Raw genomic sequence first — 14,063 nt, forward strand, 5'->3', positions numbered from 1 at the left:
CTATAATCCCAGCACTCTGGGAGGCCGAGGTGGGTGGATCACTTGAGGTCAGGAGTTCGAGACCAGCCTGGCTGTAATTTTTGCCCTACTAAAATTACAAAAATTAGCTGGGTGTGGTAGTGCTCACCCGTAGTCCCAGCTACTCAGGAGGCTGAGGCAGAAGAATTGCTTGAACCCAGGAGGCGGAGGTTGCAGTGAGCTGAGATCGCACCACTGCACTCCAGCCTGGGTGACAGAGCGAGACTTTGTCTCAAAAAAAAAAAAAAAAAACCAAGACCCCTACCAAGGCACAGAAGGAGGCACAGAAGGGGCTGGACATTGAGAGGAGCACATCGGTGTCGGAACACACAGGCATCTGGACTTCAAGAGGAATGCACTGGCACTCACATGCCAGCAGGCCACTAACTGGTGTAACATTGTGGCATTTGGCTGGGGTAGTCGGAGGAGAGCCCGGGCCGAGTGGCCCGACTCCAGGGGAAAACCAGTCTCCCTTCTGGCTCCCACATCTGTTAAGAGCTAGTTCCACTCAGTAAAACCTTGCACTCATTCTCCAAGCCCATGTGTGATCTGATTCTTTTGGTACACCAAGGCAAGAAACCCTGGGATACAGAAAGCCCTCTGTCCTTGCAACCAGGTAGAGGGTCTAACTGAGCTGGTTAACACAAGCCGCCTATAGATGACAAACTAAAAAAGCACCCTGTAACACAAGCCCACTGGGGCTTCAGCTGTAAATATTCACCCCTAGACACTGCTGTGGGGTTGGAGTCCCGCAGCCTCCCCGTCTGTACGTTCCCCTAGAGGTTTGAACAGCGGGGCATGGAAGAAGTGAGCCACACCCCCAGCCCACACCCTGTGAAGGGGGACAAGGGAACTTTTCCCGATTAATTTGTATCTGTAAGTTTTGATACATTTTACCTTTTTATAATAGATTTTTGTATATTTTATGATAGTAAATGATAAAGTAGGCTAGTTTGGACACATTTTATGCATTCATGACATACCCACATTTTCTTATTTTTTTGATATTTCTAAACTTGTTCATCTGTAAGTTTTTTCAAATTGTCACAAATGTCTAAAAAATTTTCCAATATGTTTATTTTTTAAAAATCTCAAGTTGATCCATGCAGTTGAAACCTGTGTTGCTCAAGGGTTAACTCAAGTTCTTTTTTTTTTTTTTTTTTTTTATTTGAGGCAGAGTCTCGCTCTGTTGCCCTGGCTGGAGTGCAGTGTCATGATCTTGGCTCATCACAACCTCCATCTCCCAGGTTCAAGCGATTCTCCTGCCTCAGCCTCCCAAGTAGCTGGGACAACAGGCACACGCCACCATGCCTGGCTAATTTTTGTATTTTTAGTAGAGACGGGGTTTCCTCATGTTGGCCAGGATGGTCTCAAACTCCTGACCAAAGGTAATCCACTGGCCTCGGCCTCCCAAAGTGCTGGGATTACAAGCGTGAGCCACCACGCCCAGCCCTGAAGTTCTTTCTTTTATAACAGCTGGGTTTGCTGCTGTGGTTAAGAAGGTCTATTTCATACCTACATTGTACATGTGGTCTCTTCTATTTTATTCTAAGATTTTTGTTCTTTAATTTTATGTTTTCATTTAAATGTAAAAGTTTAAACCATCTTTTTTTTTTGTTTTGAAACTGAGTCTCCCTCTGTTGCCCAGGCTGGAATGCAATGGCGTGCTCTCAGCTCACTGCAACCTCCGTCTCCCTGGTTCAAGCCATCCTCAGGCCTCAGCCTCCCAAGTAGCTGGAACTACAGGCGTGCACCACCACATCCAGCTAATTTTTGTATTTTTATTAGAGACAGGGTTTCACCATGTTGGTCAGGCTGGTCTCGAACTCCTGACCTCAGGTGATCTGCTCACCTTGGCCTCCCAAAGTGCTGGGATTACAGGCATGAGCCACCGCACCTGGTCTAAACCATCTTTTGAAATGGTATGACATAGGGGTCAAATTATCTTTCATAATTATTTTTCTTTCATATAGAGAAACAGTTCAATATCATTTACTAAATGAACCATTTTTTTTTGCCTGGCTGTAACAAATAACACTATTGTCATATGCTGAACTCTCTTCCATACTGGGATCTAGTTCTAGATTTTCTTTTTTTTTTTCTTTTTTTCTTTTTCTTTTTTTTTTTTGAGACAGGGTCTCATTCTGTTGCCCAGGCTGGAGTTCAGTGGCACAATCTCAGCTCACTGCAACCTCTGCCTCCCAGATTCAAGGGATTCTCCTGCCTCAGCCTCCCGAGTAGCTGGCATTACAGACATGCCACCACGCCCGGCTAATTTTTGTATTTTTTGGTAGAGACAGGGTTTCACCCTGTTGGCCAGGCTGGTCTCAAACTCCTGACCTCAAGTGATCCACCCGCCTTGGCCTCCCAAAGTGCTGGGATTACGGGCGTGAGCCACTGTGCCCAGCCTCTAGATTTTCTATTCTTTTCCAGTATTCTATTCCTATGCCAATATTATACTAATTTGATTAAAGTAGGTTTGTGGATGTTCTGGTATCTGGTTAAGCAAGTAGTTCCCCTTCACTGTACTCCATGTTCATACTTTCCTAGTTTATTCTAGGGTATAAATTCTTCCATATGGATTTAAGGTTATTTTAATGATTTCTTAAAAACTGCCTGCCTGGCCAGGTGCGGTGGCTCACGCTTGTAATCCCAGCACTTTGGTAAGCCGAGGCAGGTGGATCACTTGAGATCAGGAGTTCAAGGTCAGGAGTTCGAGACCAGCCTAGCCAACATGGAGAAACCCCATCTCTACTAAAAATACAAAAATTAGCTGGGCATGGTGGTGGATGCCTGTAATCCCAGCTACTTGGGAGGCTGAGGCAGGAGAATTGCTTGAACAGAGGCAGAGGTTGCAGTGAGCCGAGATTGCACCACTGCACTCCAGCCTAGGTGACAAACCGAGACTCCGTCTCAAACAAACAAACAAAAAACCTGCCTGCCAGAATTCTAATTGGAATTGCATTAAATATAAGTATTTTTAAATATTTTTGTTGTTACAACGTTAAGTTTTCTTATCCAAGAACAAATAACTTTCTACTTGTCTAGCTTTGAACTTTATGTTGTTCAGTAACATTTTTATTATATTCTTCATATACATCCTGTGACTTTGTTCAGCTTATTTATAGGTATTTGAAAAAACTTTTTACCAGGCATGGTGGCTAACACTTGTAATCCCAGCACTTTGGGGGCTGCTGAGGCAGGAGGATTGCTTGAGGCCAGGAGTTGGAGACCAGCCTGGGCAACATAGCCAGATCCTGTCTCTACAGTTTTGTCTTATTTTTTTGTTTTGTTTTTATTTATTTATTTTGGCTCTGTCAGCCAGACTGGAGTGCAGTGGCGAGATCTCAGCTTACTGCAACCTGCCTCCTGGTCTCAAGTGATCCTCCCACCTCAGCCTCCCAAGTAGCTAGCACTATAGGCTCATGCCACTACGCCTGGCTTATTTTTGTATTTTTTGTAGAGATAAAGTTTCACCATGTTGCCCAGGCTCCCGGGCTCAAGTGATTCAGCCACCTCGGCCTCCCAAAGTGTTGGGATTACAGGCATGAGCAAAAAAAAAAGTTGTTTTAATTAGCCAGTCATGGTGACATTTGCCTGTAGTCTCAGCTACTCAGGAGGCTGAGGTGGGAGGAAAACTTGAGCTCCGCAGTTCAAGGCTTCAGGGAGTCAAGATTGCACCACAGCACTCCAGGCTGGGTGAGAGAGGGAGGCCGTCTCTACAAAAAAAAATTTTTTTTTTGAGACGGAGTCTCGCTCTAGGCTGGAGTGCAGTAGCACGATCTCAGCTCACTGCAACCTCCGCCTCTTGGGTTCAAGTGATTCTCCTGCCTCAGCCTCCCGAGTAGCTGGGACTACCAGCACGTGCCACCACGCCCAGCTAATTTTTGTATTTTTAGTAGAGACAGGGTTTCACCATGTTGGCCAGGATGGTCTTGGTCTCTTGACCTCGTGATCCACCCACCTCAGTCTCCCAAAGTGCTGGGATTACAGGCATGAGCCACCATGCCTGGCCTATGAAAAATTTTTTAGGATAAAAAATTTAAAAATCTTTTTTTAGAGACAGAGTCTCACTGTGTTACCAGGCTGGCCTTGAACTTCTATGCTCAAACAATCCTGCATCCGCTTCCTAAGTAGCTGGGACTACAGGAAGTCCCACCACACCGGGCCCTGGGTATTTTATATTATTGAGAATTTTTTTTTTTTTTTTTTTTTTTTTTTTTTTTAGTGACAGGTGTGTCTGGAATTGGTTCCTTCCGGTGGGTTTGTGGTCTTGCTGACTTCAGGAGTGAAGCCACAGACCCTCCCGGTGAGTGTTACAGCCCTTAAAGGTGGCATGTCCGCAGTTGTTTGTTCCTCCCGGTGGGTTTGTGGTCTCACTGACTTCAGGAGTGAAGCTGCAGACCTTCGCAATGAGTGTTACAGCTCTTAAAGGTGGTGCTCCTCCTCAAAGAGTGAGGAGCAGCAAGATTTATTGTGAAGAGTGAAAGAACAAAGCTTCCACAGTGTGGAAGGGGACCCGAGTGGGTTGCGGCTGCCATCTTGGGTGGCAGCTTTTAGTCCCTTATTTGGCCCCACCCACATCCTGCTGATCAGTCCATTCTACAGAGTGCTAATTGGTCCATTTTATGGCGTGCTGATTGGTCCATTTTTAGAGAGTGCTGATTGGTGCATTTACAAATCTTTAGCTAGACACAGAGTGCTGATAGGTGCGTTTTTACATAGTGCTGATTGGTGCATTTACAAACCTTTAGCTAGACACAGAGCACTGACTGGTGTGTTTACAATCCTGTAGCTAGACAGAAAAGTTCTCCAAGTCCCCACCCGACCCAGAAGCCCAGCTGGCTTCACCTCTCAATCCCCCCTTTAAACAGGATACCCCAACTACTGTTGGGAATTGGGCGATGACCGTTCTAGCTACTTCCTGCTGGATAGGGGCAAAGAAGGGGCCCTGCAGTTGTAGTGTCCTCCAGAGGGGAATGCTTTAGGCCAAAGGGCCAGTGGATCGGTCCAGCGGTCCTTGATAGAAGTTGTTAGTTGAGCTCATTTGGGGTTCTATTTGTAAGACCATCTGTAGCTTGATGGCCTCGATCCTAGAGGAAACAAATTTGACAAGGAGGTTAAAAATACAGGGCCCGAAGGCAAGTAATAGCAAGACGGCTGTCACGGGACATAGAGAGGGGAGAAGCCAGGTTGCCCAACTCCAGAGGTTGGTATAAGAGTTTGAAAGGCATCGTCTGATTTCAGAAGACTTTTCCTGTAAACGCTGGGTGGCATCTAGTACTATCCCTGACAGGTTAGTGTAAAAGCAACACTCTTCCCCTAAGAAGGTACAAAGTCCTCCTTTCTCAGCAGTGAGGAGGTCTAGGCCTCGGCAGTTTTGGAGAGTCACTGCTGCCAAAGAGTCTATTTGGGATTGTAGTTACTATCCTTACTGGATAGATTTTGCTATTTCTTTTTTTTTTTTTTTTTTTTTTTTGAGACGGAGTCTCGCTCTTTTACCCAGGCTGGACTGCAGTGGCACTAGCTCGGCTCACTGCAACCTCCCCCTCCCGGGTTCACGCCATTCTCCTGCCTCAGCCTCCCGAGTAGCTGGGACTACAGGCGCCTGCCACTTCGCCCGGCTAATTTTTTGTATTTTTAGTAGAGACAGGGTTTCACCGTGTTAGCCAGGATGGTCTCGATCTCCTGACCTAGTGATCCGCCCACCTCGGCCTCCCAAAGTGCTGGGATTACAGGCGTGAGCCACCACGCCTGGTAGATTTTGCTATTTCTTGCAAACTGTCTGAGAAATCCTTTGAGAGTATGTGGTAGTAGGATAATGCATGTTACACTGTTAACTTTTAGCAAACTTTACTTTAGTTAAAAACGTTGTAAATTTGGGATTTTAATTTTCCTTTGCTATTAATAAAACCTCGTTCAGTCCATATTAACTTAGAATTGGTATAGATGGCTCCTTCCTAATTCTGTAAGTACTTTAAGATTTGGCTGAGTGCAAACAACTCACACGTTTGAGCAGACCAATAATTAGGCAATTTTCCTAACTGCTTCTACAAGAGTTCCCTTATCACTTACTGAATACCCACTGTGTCTTTTTTTTTTCCCTTAATTGCCTGGGAGGAACCATCTATCATCCTGTCCTGAAGGGAGTTCCTCCTAGATCTGGTTGGACTTTTGTATGGCAATTAATTAAGATTTAGATCCCCTGTTAGGAAACCTGCTGGGTTAAGGATCTTTGACAGGAAGGCTATGGGTTGTCAGTGGCCTCAGTGCTTTCAGGCTATGCCCTTGTTTGCACTGCCAACAAGGTGGTATTGGAGTGGTACAGGGTCACGGAGAAGACCTTCAATTATCAATTATAGGTTTTAAATTTACCCTGGCTTTTAAAGGAATAGGGTACACTGTTTTTTCTTTACTACTTCCATCTCTCTTTCTCTTTGACTTCTTTGTCTCTCTCTGTCTGTCTCTTCCTCTCTCTGACTCCCTTTTTGTCTCTGTCTCTTGGGGTCTCCCTATGGTGCCCAGGCTGGTGTCAAACTCTTGGGCTCAGGCCAGGAACGGTGGTTCACACCTCTAATCCCAGCACTTTGGGAGGCCAAGGCAGGCAGATCATGAGGTCAGGAGATGGAGACCATCCTGGCTAACATGGTGAAACCCCGTCTCTACTAAAAATACAAAAAATTACCCGGGCTTGGTGGCGGGCGCCTGTAGTCCCAGCTACTCGGGAGGCTGAGGCAGGAGAATGGCATGAACCTGGGAGGCGGAGCTTGCAGTGAGCCGAGATCAGTGCCACTGCACTCCAGCCTGGGTGACAGAGCGAGATTCCATCTAAAAAAAAAACAAAAACAAAAACTAAAAACTTCTGGGCTCAAGTGATCCTCCTGCCTTGACCTCCCAAAAGTGCTGGGATTACAGGTATGAATCACTGCACCCCACCTCTCTTAATTTCTTTTTTTTTTTTTTTTTTTGAGATAGAGTCTCGCTCTGTCACCCAGGCTGGAATGCAGCTGGTGCCATCTTTGCTCACTGCAACCTCCACCTCCTGGGTTCAAGTGATCCTCCTGCCTCAGCCTCCTGAATAGCTGGGACTACAGGCGCACGCCACTACACCTGGCTAATTTTTAAATTTTTAGTAGAGACAGGGTTTGCCACGTTGGACAGGCTGGTCTCAAACTCCTGACATCAGGTGATCTGTCCGCCTTGGCCTCCCAAAGTGCTGGGATTACAGGTGTGAGCCACCACACCTGGCCTTAATTTTTTAACATTACATTTTTTTTTCTTTTCATTATATTTTTTCATAACTGTGGTTCTCAAGTACATTAGAGGACTTGTATTTGCCTGTGCCCCTAAATAATAGGGTAAACATGCTTTTGACATGTGATTAGAGTAAACTGAACATTCTTGAGACTGGTACAGCTGGGTGCAGTGGCTCACACCTGGAATCTCAATGCTTTAGGAGGCTGAGGTGGGACAATCCCTTGAGACCAGGAGTTTGAGACCAGCCTGGGAAATATAGCGAGACTGTCTCCATAAAAATACTTTTTTTTTAAATTAGCCAGTCCTAGCTCCTGTAGTCCCAGCTACTCATGAGGCCGAGAAGGGAGAATCACATGAGTCCAGGAGTTAGAGACTCCCGTGAGCTACGATTCTACCATTGCACTCCAGCCTGGCAATAGAGCAAGACCTGATCCCTGAAAAAAAAAAGAAAAAGACAGAGAAGAAGAGGAAAGGCTATTGAATGTTATTAAAGCCTTTTCAGCATCTATTGATATAATCTTAAGGTCTTTCTTCTTTAATTCATGGAATATATTTATTTATTTATTTATTTTCGAGGCAGAGTTTCGCTTGTGTTGCCCAGACTGGAGTGCAATGGCGCAATCTCAGCTGATTGCAACCTCCGCCTCCCAGGTTCGAGATTCTCCTGCCTCAGCCTCCCCAGTAGCTGGGATTACAGGCGCCCGCCACCATGCCTGACTAATTTTTGTATTTTTAGTAGAGACAGAGTTTCACCGTGTTGGACAGGCTGGTCTTGAACTCCTGACCTCAGGCGATCCACTCTCCTTGGCCTCCCAAAGTGCTGGGATTACAGGCGTGAGCCACAGAGCCCGGCCAATTCATGGAATTTATGAATTATGTTGATATGCTTCCTGATAGTCTAGCCACCCTCATACATTTGGAATGAGCCAGTTTGGTCACCTTGTGGACTTGAATCTGCCTGGGCCCCTAAATGATATGGTAAGCTGGTGTGACTGTGAAACCAACCCAATAGTCCCATAGACAGTTGTTTTTGGATAAACATAGAAATTGACCCTTCTGATCCAAAAGCTTGAAACTTACATTTGTTTTGTTTGTTTGTTTGTTTGTTTGTTTTGAGATGGAGTCTGGCTGTGTCGCCCAGGCTAGAGTGCAGTGGTGCAATCTCGGATCACTGCAAGCTCCGCCTCCCGGGTTCATGCCATTCTTCTGCCTCAGCCTCCCGAGTAGCTGGGACTACAGGCACCTGCCACCATACCCGGCTAATTTTTTGTATTTTTAGTAGCGATGAGGTTTCACCATGTTAGCCAGGATGGTCTCGATCTCCTGACCTCGTGATCCGCCCACCTTGGCCTCCCAAAGTGCTGGAATTACAGGCATGAGCCACCGCGCCCTGCCGGAAACTTAACATTTGTTTTATCTGAGTTTCTTCCTCAAGAAAGGATCTCCAGTCCTCTCAAAACGTATCAAAGAACTGAAACTCACCAGATCATCTCCTCCAGACAATGAGACTCCAGGCCCCCAATTCATCATGATTGCTTCCTTACCCTTCTGAGTTTCTGTTTTCTCATAGATAGTTACATTTCTTCCCTGATATATAAACCCCAAATTTTAGCTGGTCAGGGAGATGGATTTGAGACCAAGCTTCTATCTCCTCAGCTGCAGCACCCAGTTAAAGCCTTCTTCTAGCAATACTCATAGTCTCAGTCACTGGCTTTCTGTGCTGTGAACAGTAGGACCTAGACCGAACCCCTGGTGTTTCGGGAACAACTCTTGTGTACTGCATTCCAGTTGCTAATGTTTTATTTGGAATGTTTGCCTCTGTTCATTAGTAAAGTTGGTCTATAGTTCTTTCTTGGTACTACATTTTTCAAGGTTTGGTTTTAAAATTATGTCAGCAGCATAAAATGAATTGGGGAGCTTCTCAATTTTCGATTGGATCAAATAACTGTAATAGGTCAAATAACTATGGACCTGTGTGTTCTTTAAAGGTTAAATGGAACATAGTTAGAAAGCTATTAGGTTCTGTTCTTTTTATTATCTAAAGGTGGATCTTTAATCACCTTTCAGGTCTCTTTTGTGATGTGTATTAGTTCATTCCCACATTGCTATAAAGAAATACCTGAGACTGGGTAATTAATACAGAAAAGAGGTTTAGGCCAGGCGGGGTGGCTCAAGCCTGTAATCTCAGCATTTTGGGATCCACCGAGGCAGGTGGATCACCTGAAGTCAGGAGTTCGAGACCAGCCTGGCCAACATGGCCAAACCCCATCTCTACTAAAAATACAAAAATTAGCAGGGCATGGTAGCATGCCCCTGTAGTCCCAGCTACTTGGGAGGCTGAGGCAGGAGAATCGCTTAAACCTGGGAGGTGGAGGTTGCAGTGAGCCGAGATCACGCCACTGCACTCCAGCCTGGGTGACAAAACGAGACTCTATTCCCCGCCTCCCCCCACAAAAAAAAAAAGAAAAAGAAAAAAAAAGAGGTTTGGCTGGCCACGGTGGCTCACGCCTATAATCAGAACACTTTGGGAGGCCGAGGCAGCTGGATCATTTGAGGCCAGGAGTTCAAGACCAGCCAGGCTAACATGGTGAAACCCCATCTCTACTAAAAATAAAAAAGTTAGCCAGGCATAGTGGTGTGCGCCTATAAGCCCAGCTACTTGGGAGGCTGAGGCACAAGAATAACTTGAGCCCAGGAGGCAGCGGTTGAAGTGAGCCAAGATCGCATCACTGCACTCCAGATTGGGCGACAGAGTGAGACTGTCTCAAAAGAAATAAAATAAAAAAATGTGTTGCCATCAAGTTGTACGCAGTATTCTCTTACAATTATTTTTCATTTCTAATTTATTTATGATTGTCTCCTTTCTTATTCCCAATCTTAAACATTTTTTTCCTGTCTCCTTAGTGAGATTTTTAAGGAGTTTATTATCCTTTTTAAAAAAAAACCAGCTTTCAGATTTATTCATCCTTTTTACTATTTTTATCTCCTAGTTTACTAATTTCAGCTTTATCTCTTTTAGCTTTTAGTTTTTATTTTTTTCTTAAGATGAGTTTTTAGGTCATGTATTTATGTATATATTTTTTTCTTTTTTCTTTTTTCTTTTTTTTTTCTAAGAGGGAGTTTCACTCTTGTTGCCCAGCTGGAATGCAATGGCACGATCTTGGTTCTCTGCAACCTCTGCCTCTCGGGTTCAAGGAATTCTCCTGCCTCAGCCTCCGGAGTAGCTGGGATTACAGGCGCCCACCACCATGCCCAGCTAATTTTTGTATTTTTAGTAGAGACGGGGTTTCTCTATGTTGGTCAGGCTGGTCTTGAACTCCTGACCTTATGCGATCCGCCCACCTCAGCCTCCCAAAGTGCTAGGATTACAGGTGTGAGCCACCGGCCTCATAAATGATTATTAAATCAACTTTGTTTATTCAGCTCTTAAGTTCCTCTGTGTTTTTGCCTATTAGTCAGTACTAAATCTGTGTAATCACAATATCATTGTATTTTTCTCAAGTTCTCATTGCCTTTCTTCTTTTTTTTTTTTTTTTTTTGAAACGGAGTCTCGCTCTGTCGCCGAGGCTGAAGTGCAGTGGCACAATCTCGGCTCACTGCAAGTTCCACCTCCCGGGTTCACGCCATTCTCCTGCCTCAGCCTCCCAAATAGCTGGGACTACAGGCGCCCGCCATCATGCCCAGCTAATTTTTTTTTGTATTTTTTAGTAGAGATGGGGTTTCACCGTGTTAGCCAGGCTAGTCTCGATCTCCTGACCTTATGATCCGCCCGCCTTGGCCTCCCAAAGTGCTGGGATTACAGGAGTGAGCCACCGTGCCCGGCCTTTTTTTTTTCTTTTTTTGAGATGGAGTTTCGCCCTTGTTGCCCATGCTGGAGTGCAGTGGCACGATCTCGGCTCACCGCAACTTCCACCTCCCGGGTTCAAGCGATTCTCCTGCCTCGGCCTCTTGATAGCTGGGATTACAGGTGTGTGCCACTATATCTGGCTAATTTTGGATTTTTAGTAGAGACGGGGTTTCACCATGTTGGCCAGGCTGGTCTCAAACACTGACCTCAGGTGATCCACATGCCTCGGCCTCCCAAAGTGCTGGGATTGGAGGCATGAGCTACCGTGCCCAGCTGTCTCTTCTATTTCAGTTTTTTTTAGCCTTTTTATCATGTATCTCCAGATAGCCTATCAACATCCAATGAGAAATATATGTATTTCCATAGTCTATCAGTATACAATAGATATCCAATGGATTTTTGTTTGTTTGTTTGTTTGAGACAGTCTCGCTCTGTCGCCCAGGCTGGAGTGCAGTGGCGCAATCTCAGCTCACTGCAACCTCCGCCTCCCAGGTTCAAGCGATTCTCCTGCCTCAGCCTCTGGAGTAGCTGGGATTACAGGCGTGCACCACCACACCCGGCTAATTTTTTTTGTTTTTAGTAGAGAAGGGGTTTCACCATGTTGGCCAGGCTGATCTCAAACTCCTGGCCTCAGGTGATCTGCCCAACTCGGCCTCCCAAAGTGCTGGGATTACAGGCATAAGCCACTGCACCTAGCCTGCAATGGATATTAATGGACTTTCTGAAATTTATTATATATAACATATATTAATACATAAATATATAATTACATAAGCATAAAATATATAAATGAACATAGACATATATATTGTATTATAGCTGTGTTCCTCTGTAATCATATGTGTTTTATTTTTGCACTTAAAAACATTCAGAGAAGGGGTGTATGGCACACAAGGAAAGGCTAAGAACTCCTACCTTTAACAATCCCACCTGCCCTTACAACTTCAGTAACCATTTTTCCACCGATGACTCACCTGAATTTTTTTCTCCAATTCAGATCTCTCTTGAATTCCAGACCCGCGTATTTACATACAAATACCTCCACTTGAGACGCCCAAGTGAGGCTTTAAAGGAACCTCTAACACAACATGTCCAAAACAAAACTCATTTTCCTCTTCAGTCTGATCACTTTCCAATGAAAACTTTCTCAGAATATGGTTCTGGGAAAGCTAGTAGCCTAGTCCATCTCCCTCACCTCCATATCTAATCCTCACCAAGGTCTGTTGATTTAATCTCCTAAACTTTGTTCATTTCTGTCTACTTTCCTCATAATGTGGAGGCGACCTTACTTGTTTTAGTGGAATGGGAAGGGCACAGGTCAGATAGACGTGGGTTAATGAGTAGTGAGTAGGAGGTACAAAAAAGGAGAGCATAAATACAGACAATTCCTTTGGAAACTTTGGACAAAGAATCCTGAAAGATTTTGGAAGATGGTATCTTTCATTCCTTCAATCCAAACAACACTGTTCCCTGGCCAGTAAATAGGCAGAGCCTCAGATCTCTTGCTGAGCTTTTACAAGGTAAACCAGCATAAAAACACCCCCCTCTCCTCAGTGAGGATATGAAAGAATTTGTGTGTGCTTGGAGGTGGGAGGTTCCTGTAATATTACAAAACTAATACTACAAGGAGTGCATCTGGACGGATACAGTAACCTCTTTATTGATTTCCTTCATCCATCCCTGCTCTCCTCCAAACTGTTTTCCATGGGGCAGCCAGGAACTTCAAATGTAATTTCTGATCATATTTAAATTCCTTCCTTTGCCTTCCTCACTAGTTTTTTCTCCCTGACTCTCCAGATTCATACTCTGGACCACAGCCACTGGAGACGTATTTGGATTCCTCACACTATGTCCTCTTCTATCACAGGCCTTCATATGTGCTGTCCCCTCTGCTCTCTCCGCCCTTTCGTTGCTTAATTAACTCCGACTGATTCATCAGCTCTTAGCTGAAATGTCATTTCTTCAGGGAAGTTTTCATTGCCCTCCAGGACAGGCTAGGACTCCTGACTTTAATCACATCCTGTCCTTTTCCTTTATAGTACTTGTCATAGTTTGCAGTTACATATTTGTTGTGATTATTTGATTAACACCTGTCATTTCTAACAGTTGGGACCCCTATGAAGGGAGGAAGGGGCCTCTTTTCATACCATGGTATCCTCAACCATGATACTAAGATAGCATAATGCCTAGCACACTGAAGATACTCAATAATGTGTGTGTATGTGTATACTGGCCAAGGGCCTGGATATGCAAAGCAAAGTAAACATGGACTGTGGTGATCTCATAAGGAGACACTAAACTGAGTGGCTATTTCAGAGCTCCCTGAAGAACATCTCTATGGTTAGTCCTCTGTCATCGGCAGCATATAATAGGATATACCATCTACTTGTTTGGTTTCTGAATCATCTGAATCCACCCACACTCAGCAATGTGGACTCTCAGCTTTCAGAGAGAGACCAACTTTGAGATAATTGCCATTTCTTTTTTTTTTTTTTTTTTGAGACAGAGCCTTGCTCTGTCACTCAAGCTGGAGTGCAGCGGCATGATTTTGGCTCACTACAACCTCCACATCCTGGGTTCAAGTGATTCTCGTGCCTCAGCCTCCTGAGTAGCTGGGATTACAGGCATGCACCACCAGGCCTGCTATTTTGTATTTTTAGTAGAGACAGGGTTTCACCATGTTAGCCAAGCTGGTCTTGAACTCCTGGCCTCATGATTCACCTGCCTTGGCCTCCCAAAGTGCTGGGATTACAGGTGTGAGCCACCATGCCCAGCCCTATTTCTTCATTTGACCAATATTTATTCTGAACCTACCCCTACTGTATTCAAACACTGTACTGGGGGTGGAAAAACACAGATGAATGAGGCCTGGCTATTATTCTCAAGGAATTTATAGTTTGGAAGCATAGTCAGATACACAAATTATAACTTCCTTATTTAT

This window comes from Homo sapiens, chromosome 1, assembly GCF_000001405.40.
Source record: "Homo sapiens chromosome 1, GRCh38.p14 Primary Assembly".
Classification (NCBI taxonomy): domain Eukaryota; kingdom Metazoa; phylum Chordata; class Mammalia; order Primates; family Hominidae; genus Homo; species Homo sapiens.